This window comes from Homo sapiens, chromosome 13 (genome assembly GCF_000001405.40).
Source record: "Homo sapiens chromosome 13, GRCh38.p14 Primary Assembly".
NCBI lineage: Eukaryota > Metazoa > Chordata > Mammalia > Primates > Hominidae > Homo > Homo sapiens.
Genome location: NC_000013.11, coordinates 22,130,037 through 22,155,142, shown reverse-complemented (window position 1 = coordinate 22,155,142; position 25,106 = coordinate 22,130,037). Strand labels below are relative to the sequence as shown.

The 25,106-nt window shown below is 38.7% G+C and overlaps 1 long non-coding RNA gene across 1 annotated transcript in view; it reads right to left on the bottom strand.

Annotated features, from left to right (window-relative positions):
* LOC105370108 (uncharacterized) overlaps positions 1-25,106 on the bottom strand; it is a 114,586-nt gene that overhangs the window by 414 nt on the left and 89,066 nt on the right. The gene's annotated exons all lie outside the window — the stretch shown is intronic.

Sequence of the window (25,106 nt, the reverse complement as noted above, 5' to 3'; positions counted from 1 at the left end):
TGTATTCTTTTCATATATTTGCTGTCTGGCAAGGCCATACCTTGATTTGATTGATTCTGCACAACACCAGTGTTTCGCCCAGCTCTGGGGTTGCAATACTAAGTCGTGCTCATCACAAAAATAACAAGTGCAGCTTCTGTTTCAATGAGTTTAGCCTGAGGAGCATGGAGAAGAGTCATATGCCATCCTTTGGGACTCTAAACCCCAGCCTCTCTGGGATTGCTTAAAAGCAGGTGACTTCAAATGACAAGTCATATGACAGGGTGCCAAATCTTATTCTTCCATTTAAAGTGGTGAAGTTAGTGCCGCCTCCACTCCAAGAAGCCAAATTACATGGGAAATTATATTATTGTAATGAAGAAAGTATTTTGAATGCTGCCAAATGTTGATCTCAGATATGAGTTTCTCCAGTTCCAAGGAATGTCTGAGATAGGAAAGTTCAAAAGCCCCAACCCCTATAAAATTAGCTTTCTTACTTAAATATAATACCAAATGAACATACTACCTTGAGAAACATTTCGAACTTCAGCAGGTTTTTCTAACACTAGTGAGATGTTAACTTTGCCTATGACGGATTTATTTCTGCAGGAGATCTAAATGAATTCAACATTCACATCTCAAAAGGCAATTGAATTTCTCTCTTTTAAAGGGCCTCATGGAAAACACTAGTTAGAAATGTTTTCAGATACTGGATTAATTATTATTAATAGATAAAACTATACAAAGTCTCAAATGTTTATTCCCATGCCATAAATAAACAAGGACCAGAGAAATGTGTGTTTAGAAAATAAATAATCACTCAAGTATTGCCATGTTAGAGTAGTTACCTAACATTACGAACCTTCCCGCTGAGGCAAACTCCTCCTCCAACCTCATAGACACAGGAGGTATTGACCAGCCCTGGTGGTGAAACTAGATTTTAGCAACTGGAATTTATCTTACACTACATTGAAATACCAATGCAAGACACTGGATGTTTTTCTATCGTTATGGGTCTTTTTTTGTTTTGTTTTGTTTTAATTTCCCCAATAGTCACTAAAATCTCCAGGTAGACTTCTCCTCCTTTGATTCAACTGACCTAACATTTATTAGGGAAAGGGATCCAAAGTCACAAGTTTAATAATTAAGGGAGTATCTATTGTAATGTTCAAAGTGTATGAACAGGAATATCCTTAAATTGGTATTAAAATTTTTATGATAATTCTAATTTGAAAAATTACTGCACTTGCCAGACTTAAGGAATTCCTTACATAGTGACTACCACACTGTGGGAAAAAGAGAAAAAGGATCCATGGAAACTAGAAATAAGTATCAGTGGAAAGAGGCAGAAAATAAACAGAATGCCCCAATGATCTGAGGAGAGTGACAAGAATGTACTTTTTCAATCCTCTGAAAAGCGATTTTAATCAACTCTATCTCCTGCTATCACACACCAGATAAAAATGGTGCTAATGAGAATCTGGGCTCTCTAGCTATTTTCATTGCTCAAATTCTTATCCTTTAAAACAGGATAGTCTCCCCTGATTTTCTCACCTCATATAACCTGAAGGCAATGAATTTCTTTTTCGTCTATTTGAAAAGAAATCATTTTCACTTGAAAAGAAAGAAGAGTTTTGTGGTCTTGTGAAATGACTTGGGCATTTAGAAAAGGAAAAAGTTACATTGACATCTACATTGCCACATGAAATTATATCATAAAATACACACCCCAATTCTTTCCTTTTTCTTAGCACTTAATTTTCAATGTGATAAAATTACTTCAGTTGGTTATATGTTGATTGCCACAAAACAGACATTGGAAAGTTATAATCTTCTATGAGCATTTATTGAGGTACTATTAGCTCCATCACACCACAATAAGTGCTAAGAGATTGTTTATAATTTGAGATAGAAACTGTCTTTACACACATAGAGTCTCAGCAATCTGGAGTGAGTCAAGATGGATGAATAAATATTATCGCTAGCAGAGGTATCCAATCTATACAAGTTCATATCAATTTCTTGCCAACCTTTCATTTTTATACATATATATATATATAAACACACATTCTTGTGAGAAACACATTTGTCACATGAGCGATAAGAGCACTGAGACCAAATCTACTTGGCCAGGGAAAGTTGCAGGGATGTGAAGTGAGTTCTGTGTTGTGCTCCACAGATAAAAATGTTTGGCAGAAGGGAGGATACTCATGGCACCAGAGATGGTCTCCAACCATCCAGCTGCTGTTATCTAGCAGACATTTACTGCTGAAAGTTTAAATTCTTTCTACATCATTAGCGCCACAGAGTTTGCAGTACACAGCAAGTGCCCTGGATAAATGATGTGAGGCTGATGGAGGAACAATGGGAAACTAGTGTAATGGAATGATTTCAATCCTGTGGGTCTGTTGGCATCTTTAAAAAACCAGTTACTTATCAAATACATACCAACAGAAAAATACTGCTCAGGACTGGTGACCAGTGGTCCAAGCTACATGGCAAAAAAATCATAGTTGTTTTCAAGATAAGGTCACAGGTTGTACCATCTCCATTAATATCTGTGACTTTTCTCTAGGCTTAGGACATTGTCCCTCTAGGAGAGGGAGGGGTCCTAAGAGACGGAGCCTCTATCACTTTTGTTCCCTACCATATACCCAATGCCTTGCACATGGTACAAAGTTGAGCCATTTGAAATTGCCATTTTGCAAGTTAAAATATCTAAATTTTGGCAATGCCATGTTTCTTGCAAAAATTGAATGAAAAATACCTCTCTTGATTGGGACAGGAAGAACAGTGATGATGTAGAGGTAGATAATCATGTGTGCATAATAAGAACATTTTCTTATACAAAAATGGACTTTTTTTCTGCTTAAACATGTTAAATATTTTCATTTTCAACATCTTCCCCAATCTTGCCTATGGGCTTTCCTGACCATTGAGAGTACAGCAGCAAAAAAAAAAAAAAAAAAAATTTGGTTCCTAGATTTCTGTCTTGATTATAACTAATCATTCAAAGGCATCATCCTAGGGTCTAATGCAATTGATTTTCAGTGAACTTTTAAATAATTATGGAACTAATAAGTAAAAGGAGGACTGAAGATGAATAAATGTTGTAATGTTCAGAAAGGACAAGAACGTTCATAATACAAACTGTACAGGCTGGCAGGTTTGGTGTTCAGCCAAGAAAATGTTTTGAACAAATTGGTAAGCAAATAATGTGTGAAGAATTTAATTCTGAAGTAAAGAGACAATCATTAGGAGTCAGGAAAGATTCACAATAATCGTATCATGAACGTTCTTCTTGCCTGGAAGATTTTTTAAAAATGCACCATTAAATACACATCTGTATTTAGTGGTCAATAGACAAAAATATTCGTGATACCTTTCTGGTGGTATAACAAATTATTGCTTGAGTTTTAATGTATTTAGACAGAATCATGACTGACTGAATATCCTCTTCACCATTGTGATGGATCAATTTAACAGAGGAAAGTCTTTGAAGTCACAGGACTCTCAGCCGTATGCACAGTCCGCTTCAACAGCATTACCAACGACTTCAATGAAAACATGCCTGCAAGCTCATCAAATTTGTTTTTATTCTTTCTTTTGTTCTGCAAAATAATACATTTAAAGCTATACATTTTCCTCCCAGAACTGCTTGAGCTGTGTCTCAGACGTGTCAGTTGTCTTCTTTTAACATTTCTTTTATGATTTCTTCGTCAAGTATTCAGATTTTTCTTTCAGTTTCCAAACATATGTGATTTCTTTGGGTTTTCAATTTTTTTTTAATTTCACTACATGTATGGTCAAAGTATATACCATGTATGACCCTGGTTATCTAAAAGTTGTTAAGGTTTACTTTCTTGGTAATGTAGTATGTGGTCAATTTTTGTGTTCTATGTGTGTTCAAACAGAAAGTATGTTCTCTATTTGTTCAAAGTAAAGTAATTTATATCTACTAGATATTCAACCCGTTTATTTTTTCTGATCGATATATCAAAGCCTAATCATTGATTTATCTATTTCTTCCCATAGTTTTTTCAATTGTTTACTTTTTGAAGGAAATCTTAAAAAGTATACATATTCATGTTTATTAGACTTTCTTGAAAACTATCATTTTTTACTAATATATAACATTCTTTTAGTTAATATTTCTCTAGTAAATCATTTTATACCCCTTTAATTTTATTGAAATTGTTTCTATTACATTTTGGTTTTCATCCCATCTGAATATCTTCATCAGATAGTTAAATCCCTAGTCATTCTAGATTATTTAGTTAAATCCCTGGTCATTCTAGGTTTTGTTTCATGTATGTTGTACTTTGTTCATTTTCCCCTATCAATTTCTTAGGCTTCTCAGTGCCTAAAATCTGCCCCCTTTCCCTGATCCAGTTCCTCCACAGGACAGTTATTAATAATCAATAGCTCCAATTTTCCTCAGCTCTTCAATAATTTCCACCACACAACCCACCATACACTCAATTCAGTCTTTCCACTCACCCCCAGCTCTGCTGATACCATCTAAAAAATTATTATGAGCATTGAGCATATTTTTTTTAAGTATTATTTTGACAACAGTAATCTTGACTTCATTTCCAAGTTAACAGTGCCCTCCTGGACTTAACAGTTTTTTTGGAGTATTACCTCAATGGAGATTTTCAAAGAAGGTAGTTGGTGAAATTTCTGATGCTTTGCTTGCCTAAGATTGTCTTATTTATCCTCGCATTTAAATTGGCAGTTTAGGCCAGGCGCGGTGGCTCACGCCTGTAATCCCAACACTCTGGAAAGCCGAGGCGGGTGGATCACCTGAGGTCAGGAGTTCGAGACCAGCCTGGCCAACATTGTGAAACCCCATCTCTACTAAAAATACAAAAAAATTAGCCAGGCGTGGTGGCATGTGCCTGTAATCCCAGCTACTTGGGAGGCTGAGGCAGGAGAATCACTTGAACCTGTGAGGCAGAGGTTGCAGTGAGCCAAGATCACACCACGGCACTCCAGCCTGGGCAACAGAGCAAGACTCAGTCTCTAAATAAATAAATAAATAGTTTAGTTAATATAAAATTGTAATTATGCATTCAGGGGTTTTGTTTCTTTTAATACTTGAAAATGCTACTCTGTTGTGTTTCTTACAAAATGGCTGATACCAGTCTGATCCCTGTTTCTTTGTATAAGAATTTTTATCTCCAAGTTTTTAGAATTTTTTTGTTGTCTTTCATTTTCCCACATTTAATTACAGTGTATGTGTATGTGGGTTTTTCATTAGTATATGGCACTATGGCAGTCTTTATAATCTGAGGTCCTCTATCATCTTATGGTAGAAATAATGTTGCTGTAATTTCAATTTTTCTCAGTTTCTTTGACTTCTATTATATTTTAACATTTCTATATCAAGACATCATATTTTTTAACAAGTCCTTTACATTTTCCCTCTTTATCCCTTCCTGATGCTTACCAGAAGAATTCCTTGGCAAAATATTCCAGCTGATTAATTCATTCTTAAGACTTATTAATTGTTCTTTTTGGTTCATCTGCCGTGTTCTTTGTTTTAGCTATTACGTCTTCATATTAGATAGCTCTTAATGATTCTTATTTATGATTTTTAAAAATTCTTGCTCCGTGTTCCACATAGCTTCTCTTATCTCTTTTAAAGTATTTCTTATACTTACTTTTTATGCTTGTTTTTTGTCTGATTTCTTAAGTTCTGCTTAATTACCATTGTTTGTTCTATGTGTCACTTGTGTCTTATAGGGGTTTTAATTCTAAGATATTTCCCTATCATCCCCTGTGAGCATGTATTTCCTGAGGGCCTTCTGTGCCTCTGAAGGTCACGTGTACCTAGAGGAAGGCGATCTGGGCTGCTGTTTGTGCACTTCTGATGACTTTGAGGCAGAAGGAATTCCTCAGAAAGGAAAGCCTCTGAGGCTTCAGCCTAAATCCCAACACTGATTCGTATTGGGTGCTGGGAGGAGTGCATGTGTGAAGTCAGCACCCACCTGGGCAGGATGGTGCCCCTTCCCCACCAGGGCATCATCCCTCCCTTACCATTGTGCCTCCAGCTCCTGGTTTTCTACTTTGCAATGTTGACAGGTGGGCAATGCCTACCTAGACATATTTAAAATGTGCCTCCTAACCTATCTTGCATCCATGGGCCCTGTCCTTCTTCTGCTTTGGGCTGCTTTTTATCCCCCATACACCAGGGCTCAGTTGTCAAGTTCCCAACATTACCTGCCAGAGCCATCACGCCTCCCCTCACCACACTGGATCCAGGGTTGGGTTCCAGATGTGAGTCAACAGCCTGTGATTACTGGCTCTCATGTAAGACACACACGGATCCAACTAGCAAATTACAGATAGGAATGTCAAAGGGGATATCAGAGACAAAGTCCTGAATAATCTTAGCAGTGTGGTAAGATGGGTCAAATCTAGCTCAATAAACTATAATAGGCATAAACACTGTCCATTTCAAGCTTCAACAAAAAAGAAAAAGAGAAAGGAGAGAAAAGGAGAGGAGAGGGGAGGAGAGGGGAAGGGGAGGGGATGGGAGAGAAAGCGGGAGGGGAGGTGAGAGGAGGGGAGGGATAGAAATGCAGTACTGTGGAGACATAACTAATTGTAAAAAAAAAAAGACTCAAGAGATTATGATTACCATTGGCCTCAACAAGAGTCAACAGTTCAGTAAGTGGCCAGGAAGGCTTATACAACCGTAAGCAGCCTGTTCTGGAGGGATCAGAACATGCAGCACTCTGGCCTCATCAGTGGAGACCACACTGGAGAACTGTCCTCAGTTCTGAAAAATAGTCTTTAAAAGAAATGTCAACAAGCTGGCAAGTGTCTACTGACCATTTCTTTTAAGGGTCTCAAAAGGAGAAGGCTTTAAGCGGATAAGGATCGTCAACCTGAAGAAAAGTTTCCAAGAACATATTATATGAAAATGATATTAGAAATTAAATGTGGCTTCAGAGGGTTGAAATCAGAGAAATGGATGGAAGTTACTGAAAAAGGATTTTGCTCTATCTAAGAACACATTTTTCTAGCCATTAGGCCATCTGAGACTGTAACTTTTACATGTGCAATAATAAGTTTTATATCACTACAGATGGTCAAGATGAGATTGGAAAAAAAAACAAAAAAACTAGGTATAACCATAGGTGGAGTTGGACCATAGAACATTTGAGATCTCTTCTAATCCCAAGTGTCTATCATTTCTTTGTCACTACAGTTTATCCTAAATGACTGAATATTTCAGTACCTGATTGATTTTCCATCAAGCTTAGATTCACACTATACAAAATCTCTTCTGGATCACTTTATGAAAACGAAATTTAGAGACAGAAAGCAAGCAGCCCAAATTATATCGCCCCATTTGTTTCCTACTCAGATTTACAATAACTCCATGCTGACCTGGTGTTTGCTGAGAACTCCTACTTCCAATTATGCTCTTAAACCATACTGTCCACTCCAAACTGAAGCAACTTTTTAATTTAATATATCCAACCAACAACTTCAGGTAATCAAGAACTATGAGATTGTGACTCTGCCTTAAGTGTATTATCCACCAAACTGACTCATGTCATCCTAAAAACAAAGCCTACTAAAAATAAGAATGAGGAGATGGGGGTTCCTGGAAACAAGACAGAGACCATTTTGTTTTAATTAGCACCTGTAATGTATCGCTGTCACTTTATAGATATAGTTTTGTCATTCTCACCTCATTTCTCAGCACACACACTCAGAGAACTTCTCTGCCACTGACTCGCACACCTGAATTTTATGAGACCAAGCACTGTGCTAATTCATAATAATTTCAGTTTCCATTTCAGCAGTCTTTGGGTGAATCCTTGACTTAATCATTTCTTTTGAGATATTTAGGAAAACTCACTCCTTAATCCATCACTTAGTCAAATAAAAATAATTTTTTATTTAGAAAATTGAGATTGTATTTGTAAGTGTCAAATCACTGTTTTTACAAACTTTATTTAAATAAACATATGAGCTTTGGCATCAGATAAATCTCTGCTCAAATCTCCAAACTATCAATTAATAGCTTGTGTATGGCCCTGGAGAAGTTATTTTGTGTTTCTGCATTTTGAGTTCTTCTTCTATAAATTCTGTGTAAAATACCTACATAACAATGTTTGAGGAAGGATTAAATGATATTATGGTCATAAATAATAGTTAACATTTATCAGATAGATATTCACTATGTGCCACGAACTCCTTTTAAAGCCTTACATTTATTGACTGATTTGATCCTGGAAGTCTGATTAATAAGTACTATGATTATCCCCTTGTACAGATGAGAAAATTCTGATGCAGTGAGGCTGAGACACACACACACAGTCATGGCCTACTCAGGTTGCAGCTGAATTGGACCCAGGCTGCCCAGCCTCTCCCACTTCACCAGGGCCCTGGACTTCATCTTGATAAAGTACATTACAGTAAGACTTCAGGAATCACCAATTTTCACAACCTCAAACTCCATTCCTTCTGTGGGATAATTTTTAATTAATTTCAGAAAACTACATTCTTGTATAAATAAAAATAGCAATAAAACTTTCCTAATGCACAGTGCTTTATGCTTCACAGTGTCCACTTGGGGAGATTAGAACTTTGCCAGATCCTTCTCTCCCTTTTACTTTTCTAAGCCTCCGTTTGCAAAGCATCCTAGGGTGAAAATTCAGGACACTAATGCTATTGGGTGTTTTGGTTAATCAATAATCAATTTTCTTAATATTCACTTACTCCAATTATGGAGAGTTGAAATTTTCCCTATATTCCTTCTCTTCTATCAACTCCTATAATACTAACTGACCTTCCTGAAAATATGGTATTCTTTGAACTTTCTCCCATCTCACTGAATGGGGCACATTTAGGAGCATTTATATGACTGGATTAGAAATATGCGTCAACACAAGGACACATATCTGAACAAAACTGGTCATCTCATGTACAATTCAGTGACTTGCTGTGCAGTAAGAAAGCTCAGCAAAAGTTGTCAACCAACTTCAGATTGACACAGCTCGGACCTGATCCTTGTACAGTTTTTGCATATACTTTTCTGAGCATTAATAAAATTGTTTAAAATGTATATTTAATATCACTAGGTTTTCCAAAACATACCAAAGAAATGTTAATTTCAATTAAGCAAAAAGATTTCAATTAAGAAAAAGTCAGATGGGTTTTTAAATGAAAAATAAACCACCCAAGTATAAACAATAAAACCCACAAGGTCCAAAATGCCAAATTCAAACTAGAAATTAGGTATGTCAGAGAAAGTTTCAAGGAATACCTTACAAGGGACTCTGAAGCCAATAATTCAGGTTTTTAAGATAACAAAGGTAGATGTTCAACAGGAGAATCAATGCAACTACTTTTGATCCTAAGTGCAAAGGATTTGCTTAAGAATTAAAGGAAAAAGAGATAATTAATTTCCGATTTTGGTTTACTTTGAGGAATATATTAACATAATTCTCAAATCTAAAAACGAATGTGTGGTTTCAAGGGAAGAGAAAGTGCTTGGGATTCAGACCACCTGAGGTCCAATCCTTGCTCAATCACTGTGATATTAAGGACTAACTATTTTGGCTTTTTTTTTTTTTTTTTTTTTTCTGAGAAAGAGTTTTACTCTTGTTGCCCAGGCTGGAGTGCAATGGCACAATCTCGGCTCACTGCAACCTCTGCCTCCCAGGTACAAGCAATTCTCCTACCTCAATCTGCAAAGTAGCTCAGATTACAGGCATGCGCCACCATGAACCGCTAATTTTTTGGTATTTAGTAGTGATGGGGTTTCACCATGTTAGCCAGACTGGTCGCGAACTCCTGACCTCAGGTGATCCACCCGCCTTGGCCTCCCAAAGTGCTGGGATTACAGGCATGCACCACCGCGCCCGGCCTAGGACTTGAGCTTTTCTATGCCTCACTGTCTTTATCTGCAAAGTGGAGATAGTAATGCCTATGTCATAGCTTGTTGTATTTTATAAGGTATAAGGAATGCCTGGTACATAGTAATTACTAATACTTCTCACCCTCACTCCCTATTATGAAGTAGAAAGGCTGATATTATTAAAAAAAGAGAATGTTTCAAAACACCTTAAAATTTTTCAAACTTAATTCCAGAAATATTTTCCTAGTATGCCTACTCTAGGCAATCAGGTGGCGGAGGGCCAAATGGGTGTTAGAGAACAGACCAGCATGGACTGATACGATCACTGGAGCCTTGGAGGTGAGTTTGAAAGATGTGGATGAGATTTGTTGGGGAGAAGGAGTGGTATGCAAGGAAAATTTACATGGTGATATAAAATAGTCAAAGGCCTAATTAGGCAACAATGAGAGAGCATATTTAGAAAAAAGGAGAAAATTAGCCTGCTCTAAGTATATTGGAGAAAAATAAACCAATTTTTGGATATTTAAGATTGGCCCACATCACAGAGAACTTTGAAAAACGTTGAGATACACAAAATTCTGAGGCCAAAACAAATGTTAGTAGGATGTTAGATGATTAGCTTGTACTGAAAAGAAATGTTTTATTTAGTATTACAAAGATCACAAGACTGAGATATGGCCAGGGTAATTTCTGCCCATGAGAAATATTCCTGATAACTCAGAGACTTGCAAATAAATAAATCATAATCTGGACATGGAGAGTTGGTTGGTATTAGACATAGAGAATACACCCATGAAACATTTACACGAGTGTCCCTATTAGGTAACAACAAAATTTCCATAAAAATTTATATGATGCTCATTAATCTAGTATTCCTTGAAGAGATAAATAACTTTGAGAGCATGGAGAATTAGAACACTTAATTTACTTAAACTTGCGAGAAACCTTTAATAAGTTTCTCATCAAGCAGTTTTTTGTTGTTGAATATTATCACATATAGATGTAAAAGACATGGTTAATTCATTGACCCAATGTATCACTTATCTATTGCTGTGTAACAGATTAGCCCAAAATTAGCAACTTAAAACAAAAACTTATTATCTCACAGTTCCTGTGGACCAGGAATTGGATGCAGTTTACTTGGGTGTGTCCAGCTCAAGTTCTGTCATGAGGTTGCACTCAAGCTGTTGGCCAGGGATACACTCGTCTGAAATCTCAACTGTGGCTGAAGGATCCTCTCCCAGGCTCACACACACGGTTGTGAACAGACTTCAGAAGATCTATTCCTAAGCTCACTTACATGGGCCTCTTCTTAGGACTGCCACACAGTGTGGCAGCTGGTCACCCCAAGCCAAGCAATCAAGGGGGAGCAGGAGAGGGCATGCCCAAGACAGAAGATATGACACAGTCTCTTTGAAACCTAATGTCTAAAGTGACATGTCATCACTTGCCATAGTGCATGCACAGAAGTGAGTCACTAGGTCAAGTGCACATGAAAAGGAAAGATGTAGGCATAAATACCAGGATGTAGGATAATGGAGGCCATCTCAGAGAGGCTGCCTGTCATGCCCAGCCTCCATTTATAACCTCCTTCCTCCAAAGCCACATTCCAGCTGGGATTGGCCCTGTTAAAAAGTTCTGGCTGATGAGACATAAGCCGTGTCTTCTCTGTATCCCTGAGGAAGGTTTTGCTTTGTTGATTCAGTCCTTTGCTCTTCCCCTCACTCAATTTTAGCCCATCTGATGGAATGTGGACATGATGGCTGAGTATGCAACAGCCATCTTGTAACCATGAGGAAAAGGCCAGAAAAATTAAATCATTATTGTCTCTGACACTGCTAAACTGCTGAACAAATGCCAGCAGCAAGTTACCTCTGGGTTGCTTGTTTTGTGGGAAAAGCTCCTATTTATTTAAGTCACTCTATTTAGGTTTTTTTCCTACTTGAAGTAGGAAAGTATTCCTGGTTTACATGTTAGGACACTGTCTTATATTAGGAAACAAGCCCTGCGTATAGAAGAGACTTTGAAGAGGGGACATGAACAACCTGGATTAGAAATTACATACAACCCAAAATTTTAATTTCGGATTATTTATTGTGATAGTCATTCTTATATATAATTTTTTTCTTCCTTCTGAGTAGACCAGTAGGGTTATAAAGCTTCCTTCCCCTCTAAATTGACATTCAGCCCATCTCTCTGACAAATATTGATCTCACCAAACCTCCAAATATTAATTAACAGAAAATAAATGAATAAGTGACATAAAACTGACCCAGCTGTTGTGGTGGATGGATGACCCATGGAGAGGTGCAATCTATGTCCTCACTTCCTTCAGGTCTTTCCTTGAATGCCAACTTCTCAGTGGGACTTTCTCTGGCTATGCCACCTAAAATTACAGTTTCCGTGCAAACTTTCTACCCACCTTCCCTGCTTGACATTCCTCCCGGTGTTCACCACCACCTCATATATCATAGCTTTGACTCATTCATTGTGTTGATTGTCTGTCTTCCCCCAGGCTTCATGACAACAAGAATGCTTCTATGTTTGGCTCAGTGTTATGTCCCCAGCACCAAGAGCTGTCCCCGACACATAGGAGGCATTTGATGCCTATTTGCTTACTGAATTCATCACTTCATGCACTGAATATTGTTTAAGAAGATACAATGTGTGAAATCAATAGAGCACCTGCCTTCTCAACTCACAGCCTACTGATGAACCCTCCAAACCAGAAATACGATTGTGTGTGTGTGTTTAGAAAAGGTAGTTCACATCAATTTCTATAAAAGAGCCACCACCCCAGAAATAGTGAGGAACTCCCAGAGAGCCCATGCCACACAGCCTCTGTGCTGCTCTCAAAGCAAACATAGTGAGGGCCCCTGCATTTGAAGGCTCACCCACTGCAAATCCAAATTTCCCCAGTGCACCAGTTCATTAAAGCCTATTTCCTCTGGCTGTCCACCCCCCAGGCTTTTTAGAAGACACCAATTATTTTAACCTTACCTTACCTAAACATAAAACTCCTGCAATTTAACATACTCTAAAAATCTTCTGAACTTACCCTTGACCTGAGAACAATTTAAATATATAATCTATGCATACTATTAATTTGGTGTTTACTACACAACTGTGTGTGTTTCTCTCACTTAACCACATCTTGTGCAACAAGTTTTGGTTCCAAACCTCTACAGAGAAGGCAAGTGTCAAATTTATTTTTACTGACTTAATAAATATTGCTTAATATTGTTTAAGATGATGACTGCCATATGAACACAGATTGAGCTTTGTAAACAATCTTTCTCCAAAAAAAAAAAAAAAAAGGGGTGGGGGCAGAGGAGAACTGAGGAAACTATCTGGTTAATTGAGGCTTATAATTCTGCACTGTGAAGCATCCAAATACATTTCAACACATCATTTGTGAGTCAACTCTCCATTTGACTATTCACAGAGAGTCTTGGATCTGAAAAGTACCAGTAAGAAAATTTAAATATTTTATTTTTGACCTTTTCTTCTGGCACTGTGGCTTTTCTTCCTGGTTGAAAGAGTGGCTCTCAGCGTCCCCTTGTCCCTCAGGACTCCATTTCCAGCTCTTCCTTCTTCTCCTTTCTGCAGTGAAGCCCGCTCGATGCTACACACACTTCAGAGATGAAGAAAGAGTCTGGGGCTCCAGGGGCTTCTCCCAACAGCCCTGTTGAACAGCAGCAGGTTCAAGATTTCCATCTGCATGACTTTCATTCTCATCTGAGTCCGTCAATGTGGACAACAACAAAAAAATCTTTTGTTTCTGACAATGGAGATGGGACACGGGGCATTTGAATTGCAGGAAAATAATATCTCACAAATTCTTCCTCAAAAGCATTTTATAAAACTCTTTCTTTACAAAAGTTAAAGTCCCAACCAGTGCACTTCGCAGGTGCTGTTCATATATCTTCATTGTGCCATTTTAATTTGTGTTCACACTTAGAAAATACTCTATCTCCCTGCTTTTAAAATCCAGCAGGAGTACAAGATCCTTGACAAGATCCTTTGTACTCAAATTCTAAGATTCATTGCAAAAAATTAGCACCTATGCAAACCTTCTTGGCATTCCTGCATCAAGGTGTGGGCTTGAGGTGGTGGCAGTTGAGGTTTTTGTCTTGCTTCCTCTCCTTTTCAGGTCCCACCCTGAGAGGGTTGTGCTCGGAGTTGTACCACTCCAGGAGCTGTGCAGGAGCAGTCATCTGAATCTGAGAAAAGCCATGTCTCTGGACAGAGGAAAAAGGAAAAATAGCCTCCGTAGTTCAAAGGAGCTTAGGGGAAATTTTCTCTCTCTCTTTTTTTTCCTTTCTCTTTTCTCTCTCCACATTGACCTGAGGACAGCCTGAGACAACCAAAACTGGGCCAAGGGGAAAATCTCTGAAAGGAACCTAACTTTTTGGCAGTAAGATCTGGGAAAATGGTCCTCTGGGAGCTCAAGCATATAGAAAATCCCCAGATAGCAGAGAGCTGCAGAGGAGTATCTCCAAACTCTGTGTATCCAAAAGATGTCCCAGGCTCCACCAAGCTTCAGGTGCATGGACCAGACACCCAGATGCATAGCAGGAGTTTGAAAAACCAAATACGGCACTAACTACCACCCAGATCCCAAACCCACACTGAGGGGAGCCTGTGGCAACCCTAATATCACAGAAGTCTTTGCAGACTGTACTGACGTTTGCACCAACACCCACAGCAGGTGAGATAGAACTGTGGTCTGCACTGAAACAGGCCGAAGGTCTACTAAGACAAAGAAATCAATACTCTTCAGAGGATTTTAAAGTCTCCCAACACAACATTCAAATGCTCAGGAAACAATTCAAAATTATTCAACATCCAAAGAACCAGGAAGATCTGAAAAATTCTCAGGGAAAAAGACAAGCCACAGATGCCCAGATGTTGGAATCATCCAAGATGTTAGAGCAGTTTTTTTTTTTTTAAATCATCTCCATGAGGTAAAAGTGAGCAATCTTCAAATGAACAAAAAAAAAAAAAAAAAAAAAAGAAGATCTCAGAGGGAAATAGAAACGATGCAAACAATGGACAATTCTAAACTAAAAAATGAAATACTTTAAATTTAAAAAAATCATTGGATGAGCTCAATTGCAGAACGGAGATAAGGGGAAAAACTTGAAGATAGACTAACAGAAATCAAACACAGAGAAAAAAGCTGGAAAACAAATAATGAACAGAGCATGAGGGATCCAGAAGAACACCTCCTAAATATTTTCTCCAAGTGAAATGAAAATCTACATTTGCACAAAATCCTGTATGCTAATGTTTATAGGAGCCATATTCATAATCATCAAAACCCAGGAACAATCCTTCTGTGCCCTAATGAGGGAGTGGCTAGGCAGGTTGTGTTACATCCACACAAAAGAGTACACCCAGCAACAAAAAAGAACAAATGGCCACCAAAGGCACCCGCACTGATCAATTTCAAATGCATTCATCTAAGGCAAAGAAGCCAGACTCAAAGACTGCATCCTGTATAACTCCATTCATCTGACATCCTAGAAAATATAAAATTAGAGGAATGGAGAATAGATCTGTGATTGATAGGGGTTTGGGATGGGAGGAATGTCTGACTGAAAGGCGAACAATGGAAATTTAGGGAAGGGGGTGAGGAAACTATTTTATATCTTGACTGGTGGTTATTTATACAACTCAATGCATTTGTCAAAATTAATAGAACTGTACACTAAAAAGAGTGGATTTTGCTATATATCAACTTTAAAAGAAATTATGAGTAAACAGCAGTGAGCTCATAGTCATGGAGTGGTTTCTGTTACTGGGGGATGAAATGATATGACAATTTCTTTTGTCCAAGACACCCATGATAAGCTAGCCATTGCCTATACCACGGCCAACACTGCTTGAAAAATCTGTAACATATGAACCTCATTGTAACATAAAAATAAATAGCTCAAGTGCTATCGGAAACCATCACGAGCCTCAAAGAAGCAATCCCGTAAACCCTGAACACCTGAATGAGATTTCAAGAGCAAGTGACTTATCTTCTCTGACTCAGTTTCCTTTTTATAAAAGGAGGATATGAATCACAAGGTTATCGTGAAGATTAAATGCCTGCGGTATTTAACCCAGTACAGTATTTAGCAAGTAGATCGATTCAGTAGGTCTCAGTTGTTTTGCTGAGATAGCTCTGAACTCATTCCCCCTACAGTTCTCTGAGGCTTTTCTCCTCCCAAAATGCCAGAGCATGAGCTTATGCGTCTCTACTTATTATTTTGTAGCTCAGAATGGTCCCAGGAGCAGCAGAGACACCTCAGGGCATGCTAGATTGGAGATCCCCGACCCCCAAGAGGTTAAAACAATTCTAAAGACCTGAACTCCTCTAAATCAGGTCAGCAAGACTAGGTCTGATTAGATCCATCTGAATGTACGGCTCTAGAAGACAAGGACAGCTCCTAGCATTTTCCAGCTTTACTTAGGTAGAACTAATATACAATAAATTGTACATAAAGTGTACAATCTGATGAATTTTACATACAAAAAACCATCACCACAATCAAGCTAATCTTCCCTTCAGCTTCACTAGTTCCCTCATGCCCCTCTGTAACCCACCCTGTCCCCACTTCTGTCCTCAGGAAATTACTCATCTCCAGTCTATCCTCCTATATCCAGATTGGTCCACATTTTCTAGAATTTTAGATGAATGGACTGTTATGTACTTTTTGTTTACATGGCTTTTAAAGCCCTACTCGTGTTGTAGCAAAGACCAATAGCCTTTATTGCTGAGTGATAGATAGGCTACGTGGGTTGTTTGCAGATTTGACTGCTACAAACAGGGCTATGAACATTCACTCATGTGCAAGTCTTTGTGTGAGTATTTCCTTACATTTCTCTTGGAGAATTACCCAGAGTGGGATGGCTGGGTCATATGGTAGGTATATGTTTAACTGTTTGAGAAACTGTCAAATTGTTTTCCAAAGAAATTTTATATTCCTAACAGCAGTTTATGAGCATCCGGTTGCTCCACATTCTTGCCAACAATTGCTATGATTAGTCTTTTAAATTTTAGCCATTCTAGTGGGTGTGTAATTGTGTCTCATTGTGCATTTCATTTGCAGTTTTTTAATGACTAGGGATGCAAACTATCACTTCTTGGTAAAGTGTTTGTTCACATCTCTTGCCCAATTTTTCCTAGGTTGTTCACATTCTTACTGACTTGTAACAGTTCCTTTCGTGTTTCAAAACAAGCCCTTTGTCAGACATGTGATTTGTAATATTTTCTCCCAGTGTCTGGCTTGACTTTTTATTTGCTTAACAGTGCCTTTGAAAAGCAAAAGTTTTGTTGTTGTTTACGAAGTGCCATTTATAGGTGTTTTATTTTGTGCTGTTGCTGCCCAGTTCAAGGAACCTCTGCCTCACTGATAGTCACAACCATTTTCTTCTGTATTTTGAGAAATTTTATAGTTTCAGTTCCTACATCTAGGTCGATTATATTTATTGAACCCCCACATCTTTACAAAGCTAAACATATGTTTAATATTCAACAAAACTGTATTCATTTAAAAGGCTTATAAGGGTTATTTGGGTTCAGGACATAAAGAGAAATGAAAGGTAGAATGAAGTAGTTAGGGGAGCTTAAGGAGGGAGGATAAGACAAATGTTTGCTATTTTCAAGACTAGAGTGATAATCTTGTATTGTATACGGGAAATGTGCTAAGAGAGCAGATGTTAGATGCTCTTACCACAAAAAAAGGGTAACCATGTGATCTAATAGATATGTTAATTTGCTTTACTATAGTAACCATTTCAGTATGTGTATTAAAACATCATGTTGCACACTCTAGATACAAAATAAATTATTTTTTTAAAAAAAACTCACTCCAGAACTAAACTGACATCTTGGGAATCTTCCAGCCCAGGAGCCCAAGTCCGCTGTCACCAAGAGGAAGACCCAGAGCAGGGGAGTCTTGGACCCAGGAAAGACCCAGCAGCATCAGCTGTTTACTTATTCACCCAAATTTCAGGAGCCAGAACTGCACTTGTGGGTAGGGGATTTGAGTGCTGAATATGTGGTATGATTTAAGGCCTTACGACAATGAACTTCCCGGCCCACACCCCTCCTCTGTCTGTGAAAGGTCCTGAAAGGGGTGCTGTACCCCCTTCCCTCATTAGGGTTCTGCCAGCAGCAGGGTGTTTTCCAGAAATAACACACAGCCAGGCATTCCTTTATCTAGTAAGCCAAGGCCCCAAAGCTGAGGGCTAGGAAGAGTCTGCGACATACCTCTTTTTACTCTTAGGATGAGGTTCAAAATCCTCACTGTGGCCCCAGGGTTCTGAGCCTCCCAGCTTCTCCCTTCCCTCTGCAAGCTCAATCCACACAGCCCGTCCTTCGGGTCCTGGAATAGGCCATGTTCCCTTCTGCCCCCAGTCCTTGCCTCCACTCTTCCCTGAGCTAAAACATGCTCCCCTCATCTATGAATCTCAGACGCCCTTCAGATCTCAGCTCCGTGGTCACTTTTTCATGGGAAACCCTCTGGAGGCCCACTTAGACTCTGCCAGGCCTCTAAAGGGGCCCACATGCTCCAAGGGCACCTTGCTGTGACTGCTGTGTGAGCAGCTATTTGGTTGTCATCTGCCTCCTCCTCAGACTATAAGCTCCATGCAGGAAAAAATAACAATGTCCACTGTGCCCCCAGCACACTCCTGGGGCCAAGTTCATAATGAAACAATCGTTGCAGAATTTGTTGAATACAGAACCTAAAATTGTCTGACATGGCTAACAGGAAATATCCAAATTGTTGCCCCTGGCAATTTGCATTGTTTTGAAGATATTTATTATCATATTTGCCATTGGTCTTAAAATTCAAGTCCTTGAAAATTGCTAGCTGCAAATATGGATCTCACAGAATCCTTGGATTTTTATGTGTGCTGTAAAGCCCAATCATTATGAATTATCATTGTGGCCATCAATTCAAATCAGCCATACAAGACAGCTTGAGAGGCCCCAGGGAAACCAGAGGACAGTGGATGAGAATAGCTGGAAGTCAAAAGAAGGTAGAAATGTTGACAGAGATAGGAGAAGGAAGCTGAGGTGCCCAGAACTAAAATCAGAGTAATGTCAGGGCTCAGAAAAGCAGTGAATTTAATTCTTAAATCATTTCTAGGGTGTGTGAGCACTGAATTATGTTCTCTGAATTATACTTTGTGTAATTTGAAACTGAACTAAAAAAACAAAAACACACCTTAGAACATTCTGAAACTAAACAGTCATATTTGTTTAGATTTTAGGTAAGTAATTTCTTCACCACTCAATCCAGGACAAAGGAATTTCACCTGAGTTTATCTTTACTACTGATCTAAGCCTTGAGTTGTAAACACCAGAGAGAGAGAAATGCTTTCTTTGCAGTATCCCAGAGTTATTTAGTCGGGAAGAGGTGGTTCCTCTTGGTCCTTTTATCATTGAAAAGCAAAATGTGTGATAACATTTAACGTTTAGCATTTTCTCAGCAAAAGCTGAGCACTGCTGCCTCTGAACTGAGAATAAAGCCAGCTCTCATAATAGCAGCAGAGAAGGCGCAGTCCAAAATCGACAAGGTTATCATGAGAGACAGGAGTAGCCAGTGGCCACAGTCCACACAACAGAGAGAAGATATCCTCTGGAGGATCAAAGAGAAACAGCAGAGCTTTTGTACAGAAGTGAGTGAAAGGAATTTAACTGGAGTGTAATCACCTCCCATGTGTGGTCCCGGTATGTCTTGGGGAGATTGTCCTCAAAGCTATGTCAGCGTGCATTACTCCTTTTCCAGCGTAACTTCCTGCTGTCATTCCATGTCATGAAAAAATTATAAGCCTTTCTCATAATTTTTCTTTTACGAATTGCACAGCAATGTGTCGAAAGTGATCTTCTTCTCGCCAGTAAAAATAAAGTGTTCTCTTAGGACTGCATAGCTTCACGGCTTTCAAGAGGTGGATTCAATATTGGGTGCCCAGAGCAGCCTCCACAGAGGCCAGTCCCGAAAGGCACCCCTCAGCAGCTGCACCGCAGATCCTGCGCAGAGTAGCAGAGAGCACGGTGATGGGGCTTAAGTACATCCGGAAAAAGTAATTATACACAGTGTCAGTGAGAAAAGAGCTTGCAGGTAGACTTTCCAGATAAATGAAGAGGTCTCTTCTTTCAGACACCAACACGCTTTCACTACATGCATGTTGAGGTAAATGTATTTTTGAGGGAAGGCATTTCAGGCTTCCTGGAAGTGAGTATTAAAAAAAGAAAGGTGGAGGCACCATGAGAAACTTGTAGGATTGAAGGAAGGGGAACCTGGATTCCACATATGCTCCACCACTCCCTGGTGGGTGGATGTGGGTGAATCATTGCCATTATTTAGAGAATAAAAGTAATATCCGATGCACAACCTTGTTCCATAATGAAAAATAACTGGCTGGCCTTGAGCACTGTCCTGCATGTTAGGCATTCTTCTGCATGCTGTGTGCAGCTTACCCCATTACTACTCGGAATGGCGACAGCGGGTGCAGTAATGAACTGAGGCTAGAGGAGTGAAGTGAGGCCACACACACCATGAGGTCTGCAGCCAACCTGAGCCCGGCTCTAACCAGGAAGGCAGCCTCAGGCACGTAGGTGCCTTCACGCATCCCAGGCCTGAACTGTTTCATCTGTAAAATAGAGTTGATAGCAGACTCTAAGTTATTTGGGGAATGGTTATGTCCTAGAAGGCACTCAGTACTGCTAGCTGTGTTCTCTTTCCTTGTGAAGTGAGACAATCCTGGTTTTGAGTTCAGCTAACATGTGTAGCTCAGCGTCAGTTACGTCAGACATGATGTGGGTTATTGTAAGGATAAATAAATAATGCATATAAAGCATGCGTCATGAGCATTTGAGAACAAAAAGTCTTTCCTATTACTTACTGAACATCTGCAAATTGCATGTGCATTTCACATCCATAGTGTCCCAAATCCAACTAAGTATCTTTCTTCCCAGCTTCATCTATCTTCTGTATTTATTGTCTTAATGGCACCATTCTCCATCCCCAAATTTAGGAGGATTGCTTTGCGACTTTCCCGTGGTGATCATTCTTCATATTCAGTTTGCTGTCATGCCTGTCCATCCTGCCACGGTTTATTTAACTTCTTCATCCTTCATAACCACAGTATTGCATGTTCTAATGTGCCTTCCTGCTTCGAATATTTCTCCACCTCAACTCACCCTTCAGATGGCTTCTGGGAAATTCAGAAACTCTGCCCAGAATCTCAGGACCTCTAATAATCTGGCCCAATCCTGGTCCTTGAGTCTAAATTCCTGTCCATCTCTCACCAGTGCAGCCTTCCACCAAAAGTGTCCTGCTCTTTTCTAACTCCTTGCTATTGATCATCTGTCACCAGATAATGAATTATTTGTTCCCCAACAGTTAAACTGTGAAAGTTTCCTTTTGTACCCTCCCTTCTTTACACCAATACATATGGAATTTTCATCTCTAATACATGTCATTATGAAATGTTTCAAATAAAGATGAGGAAATAGCATAACACATGCTCTTGTATTCCCTATCCAGATTTAACAGAGAACAGCTTATCATGTTAGTTTAGTTTTCAATCCCTTTAAAGAAATAAAATATTATGGATCCAGTCCAAAGTTTCCCACCTTCTCCCTCCTGCCTTCCTCATAGATAACAACTGTTCTGAAGTGTGTGTCAGCCTGACTTCATGCATCCTCAGTACTTTTTCATTTGCATGAGCCCATTTAAATGAATTAAACAATTATTTATCACTTTGGAGTGCAATTAGGCCATATCTCCTAAAATCGGAGATGCCGATCACCTGAAACCCTACAATTCTATCACCCAACACTCACCCAGAATTAGCTCTCCTGTGCATATGAAAATACGCAAAGTGTATACTGAATTATTCTAATAGTGAAAAAAATAGAAAAAACATAACTGGCTTTGAATGAGGATAATAAGTGAATGAAACGCAATTTATTCATACAAGGTATACCTTAGAGCAATTAATATTGCTAACCTGGCCAGGCGCGGTGGCTCATGCCCATAATCCCAGCACTTTGGGAGGCTGAGGCAGGCGGATCACGAGGTCAGGAGATCAAAACCATCCTGGCTAACACGTGAAACCCCATCTCCACTAAAAATACAAAAAATTAGCCGGGCGTGGTGGCGGGCGCCTGTAGTCCCAGCTACTCTGGAGGCTGAGGCAGGATAATGGCATGAACTTAGGAGGCAGAGCTTGCAGTGAGCTGAGATCGCGCCACTGCACTCCAGCCTGGGTAACAGAGCGAGACTCCATCTCAAAAAAAATAAAAAATAAAATAAAATAAAATAAAATATATATATATAGAGAGAGAGAGAGAGAGAGCGCACTAACCTAAATTGTATTGTATCAAAAAACAAAGATATACACAAAAAACATGATATTAAATGGAAGAAACAAGTTGAAAAGGATACATGGTACAGGATACCCTGTTCTTTTTGACAAACATGTTCACATTTAGATAATTACTAACAGGCTATCCATATTTTCCTGCCATATTTAGGAGGAGTGAAAGAGGTGGCTATTTTTTCTGTTTTCCATCATCCGGTTTCTGATCATTATTTTTGAGAGTCTTTTTTGTAAACTGATCAATTTCCCACCCAAATTTTCTTATTCAGTTAGGATATGCATTTTAATCATATTTGGAAGGGTTGTCATTAAAATGTTAGCATGTATTTATATGTGGATTTTTTTGTTGCTGTCTAGAATTACTCTATATACCGCCTCGCCGCAAACAGACTAAGGACCTTGGCAATGTTTCACAAGCTTTCTTTTCTTATTTTTCACTGTTTCCCATGTTGAAATTATATGGAGTTTACATTTCTGAATTTTTACCAAGGGAGGAGGGGCTTGTGTTCTTTCAAATCATACATCAACAATTACGGAAATTCAGCTAGGCACTACACTGATTTCCTTGTGTGCCACCCTTTCTTATAGCTCATACCATCATCTTTTTTATATTTTTCCTTAATCATGTTTGGATACCTCCTTGAGTGATTATTTTATAAAATGCCTATTGTGGGTAATTTTTATAAGGCTTTCATTACTTACAAGCATTTTTATTTCACCTTCACACTTGAATGAAAAAATAACTCAGTATGAAACAATTCTACATTCCAAGTTGTTTTTTATCAAATGACTTTAAAGACACTCTCCATTGTTATCTACATTGTTTTCTATCAATGATGAGAAGTCTGATGTTGAGCTGATCCTCTTTAATTTGTAGTTAACTGATTTTTCTTTGTGTAAAGTTTTATGATTCTTTTTTTGTTTGGTGCTTATAACCTCGCTAGCCCATGTGCAGTCGTGTATCTTGCTTGGCAAACCTTATCAGTTCTAAGTCTCCCTTAGTCTCAGGAGTCATGAGCTTCTTCAGCTTTTGGGAATTCCTGACTCTTCATTCTGTTTGTTCTCTCCTTCTGGGATCCACAGCTGGATATTTAATCTCTAGATCCATCTTCCATATCCGTTAGCTTTTTTTCCCCCATACTTGGCCTGTTTCTTACTTTTTGTATTGCATAACTCAGACTCAACTGCCCAGTTGGATAATTCAATCTTTAGCTGTATTTATTCTGCGTTCAACATATCTAATTTTTTTCATTTTGATGGACATATTTTGAATTTCCGAGACATATTTTTGATACAGCCTTTTCATCAAAGCTCCTCAAATCTCCCTAAGGTTATATTTCAAGTTTTCGTCTACTGGCACTACCAATTCTGTCCCCATGGTGATTCTCTTTTATGTGTATACGTGTGGCGGTGTTTTGTTATTTTTTATTTTACCACCAATCAAATACTGGTGGTTTGGGTGTCTGCTTTTACTTGTAGCTGAGGGTTTCAGCTGACTCTAGCCCAAATGAGAATCTCCATCCACATATTGACAGATGCCCTGGGTGATGGAGAGAACAGACCTAAACAGCTGACCTGTTCCTCCTGCATCTTATCTGCTTCTCTGGGCCTGGTCCACTGCAGTAACTTCTCATATCTCAATTTCCATTTTGGAGAACATTCTCAATTTTAGCTGTGGACAAATATTTGAGTCAGCGATTACATTTTCTTCTTCCTTGTTTGCATTTTTTCATGTAGGTACTGGTGAGCCCAAAGTTCCCACAAACTGGGATCTCGTTCTCTTTTCCATTTGTGGGGTTATTTAATTTTTAGGTTTTACCCTGGGTGTGAACACTGCTGCTGCCAGATGCTCAGCACCGGAAGGAAAGCCAAGTAGAGCTCGTCTGGCACATCTGCTACAGACACAGAAAATTAATCCATTGTCTGACAATCGCCCCATAAAAATCCTTCAGAGTTCATGATTTACTCACTACGGGCTTAAATTACCTCTGGAACTGATCTTAAAAAAAAAAAAGATTGCTTCTGGTTACATTTGGGGGTATATCTTCCCTGTTTCTACTTTTTCTATCCATTTCCAGCTGCTATCCTTCTTTCTGAAATTCCTCAAAATTTCTAGATTACTCATAATCATGGCACCTATTAAGTTCTCCAGTGCTCTAATTATATCATTTCAAAGGTTTTTTTCTAGTGTTCATGGAAATTTTGATGTGGAGTGGGAGCATAATACAATACCATTTCATTGTTATCATTTTAAAAAGGACATATACCATTGACTTTTATATGTCTGTTTCTCCCAGTGAGCTTAATAGAGCCTTGAAATCAGTAATCTTGCCATTTATACTTATACCACCATCATTTTGGGCATGCAGTAGGCTCCTAATAAAGTTTTTTTTTTTAATAAATGAGCATTAAGGTTTTAAATGTATCATTACTCAGCAAAAAAAAAGCACATTAGACAGCAAAAAATACCCTCTGAATATTTTTAATTTTGTCAATCTCACTTTAATCTCCTGCCCCTTCTTACTGTAATCTCAGAATATAACCCATTTGATTATGTATTTGCTTTGGTCTTTTCTTCTTCAGGTTCAACGTGGTTAGAACAAAAGACACACCAGATTTGAAATCTGAAGATGTGAATTTGAGTCCCAATATTGACATTTATGCAATCTATGGCATTCAAAAAGTCATTTAAACTTTTTCAGTTCTCAGCTTCCTCCTCCTCAAAATGGAGAGGCTTATGCCTGCCTTTCCCACTTCACAAGGCAGTTGTTGAGTCACTTAAGTTAGACAATGCTATGAAAGTTTATTATCAGATTCACAGTAATTCAAAATGTGTCTCTGAATTTCATTTCTA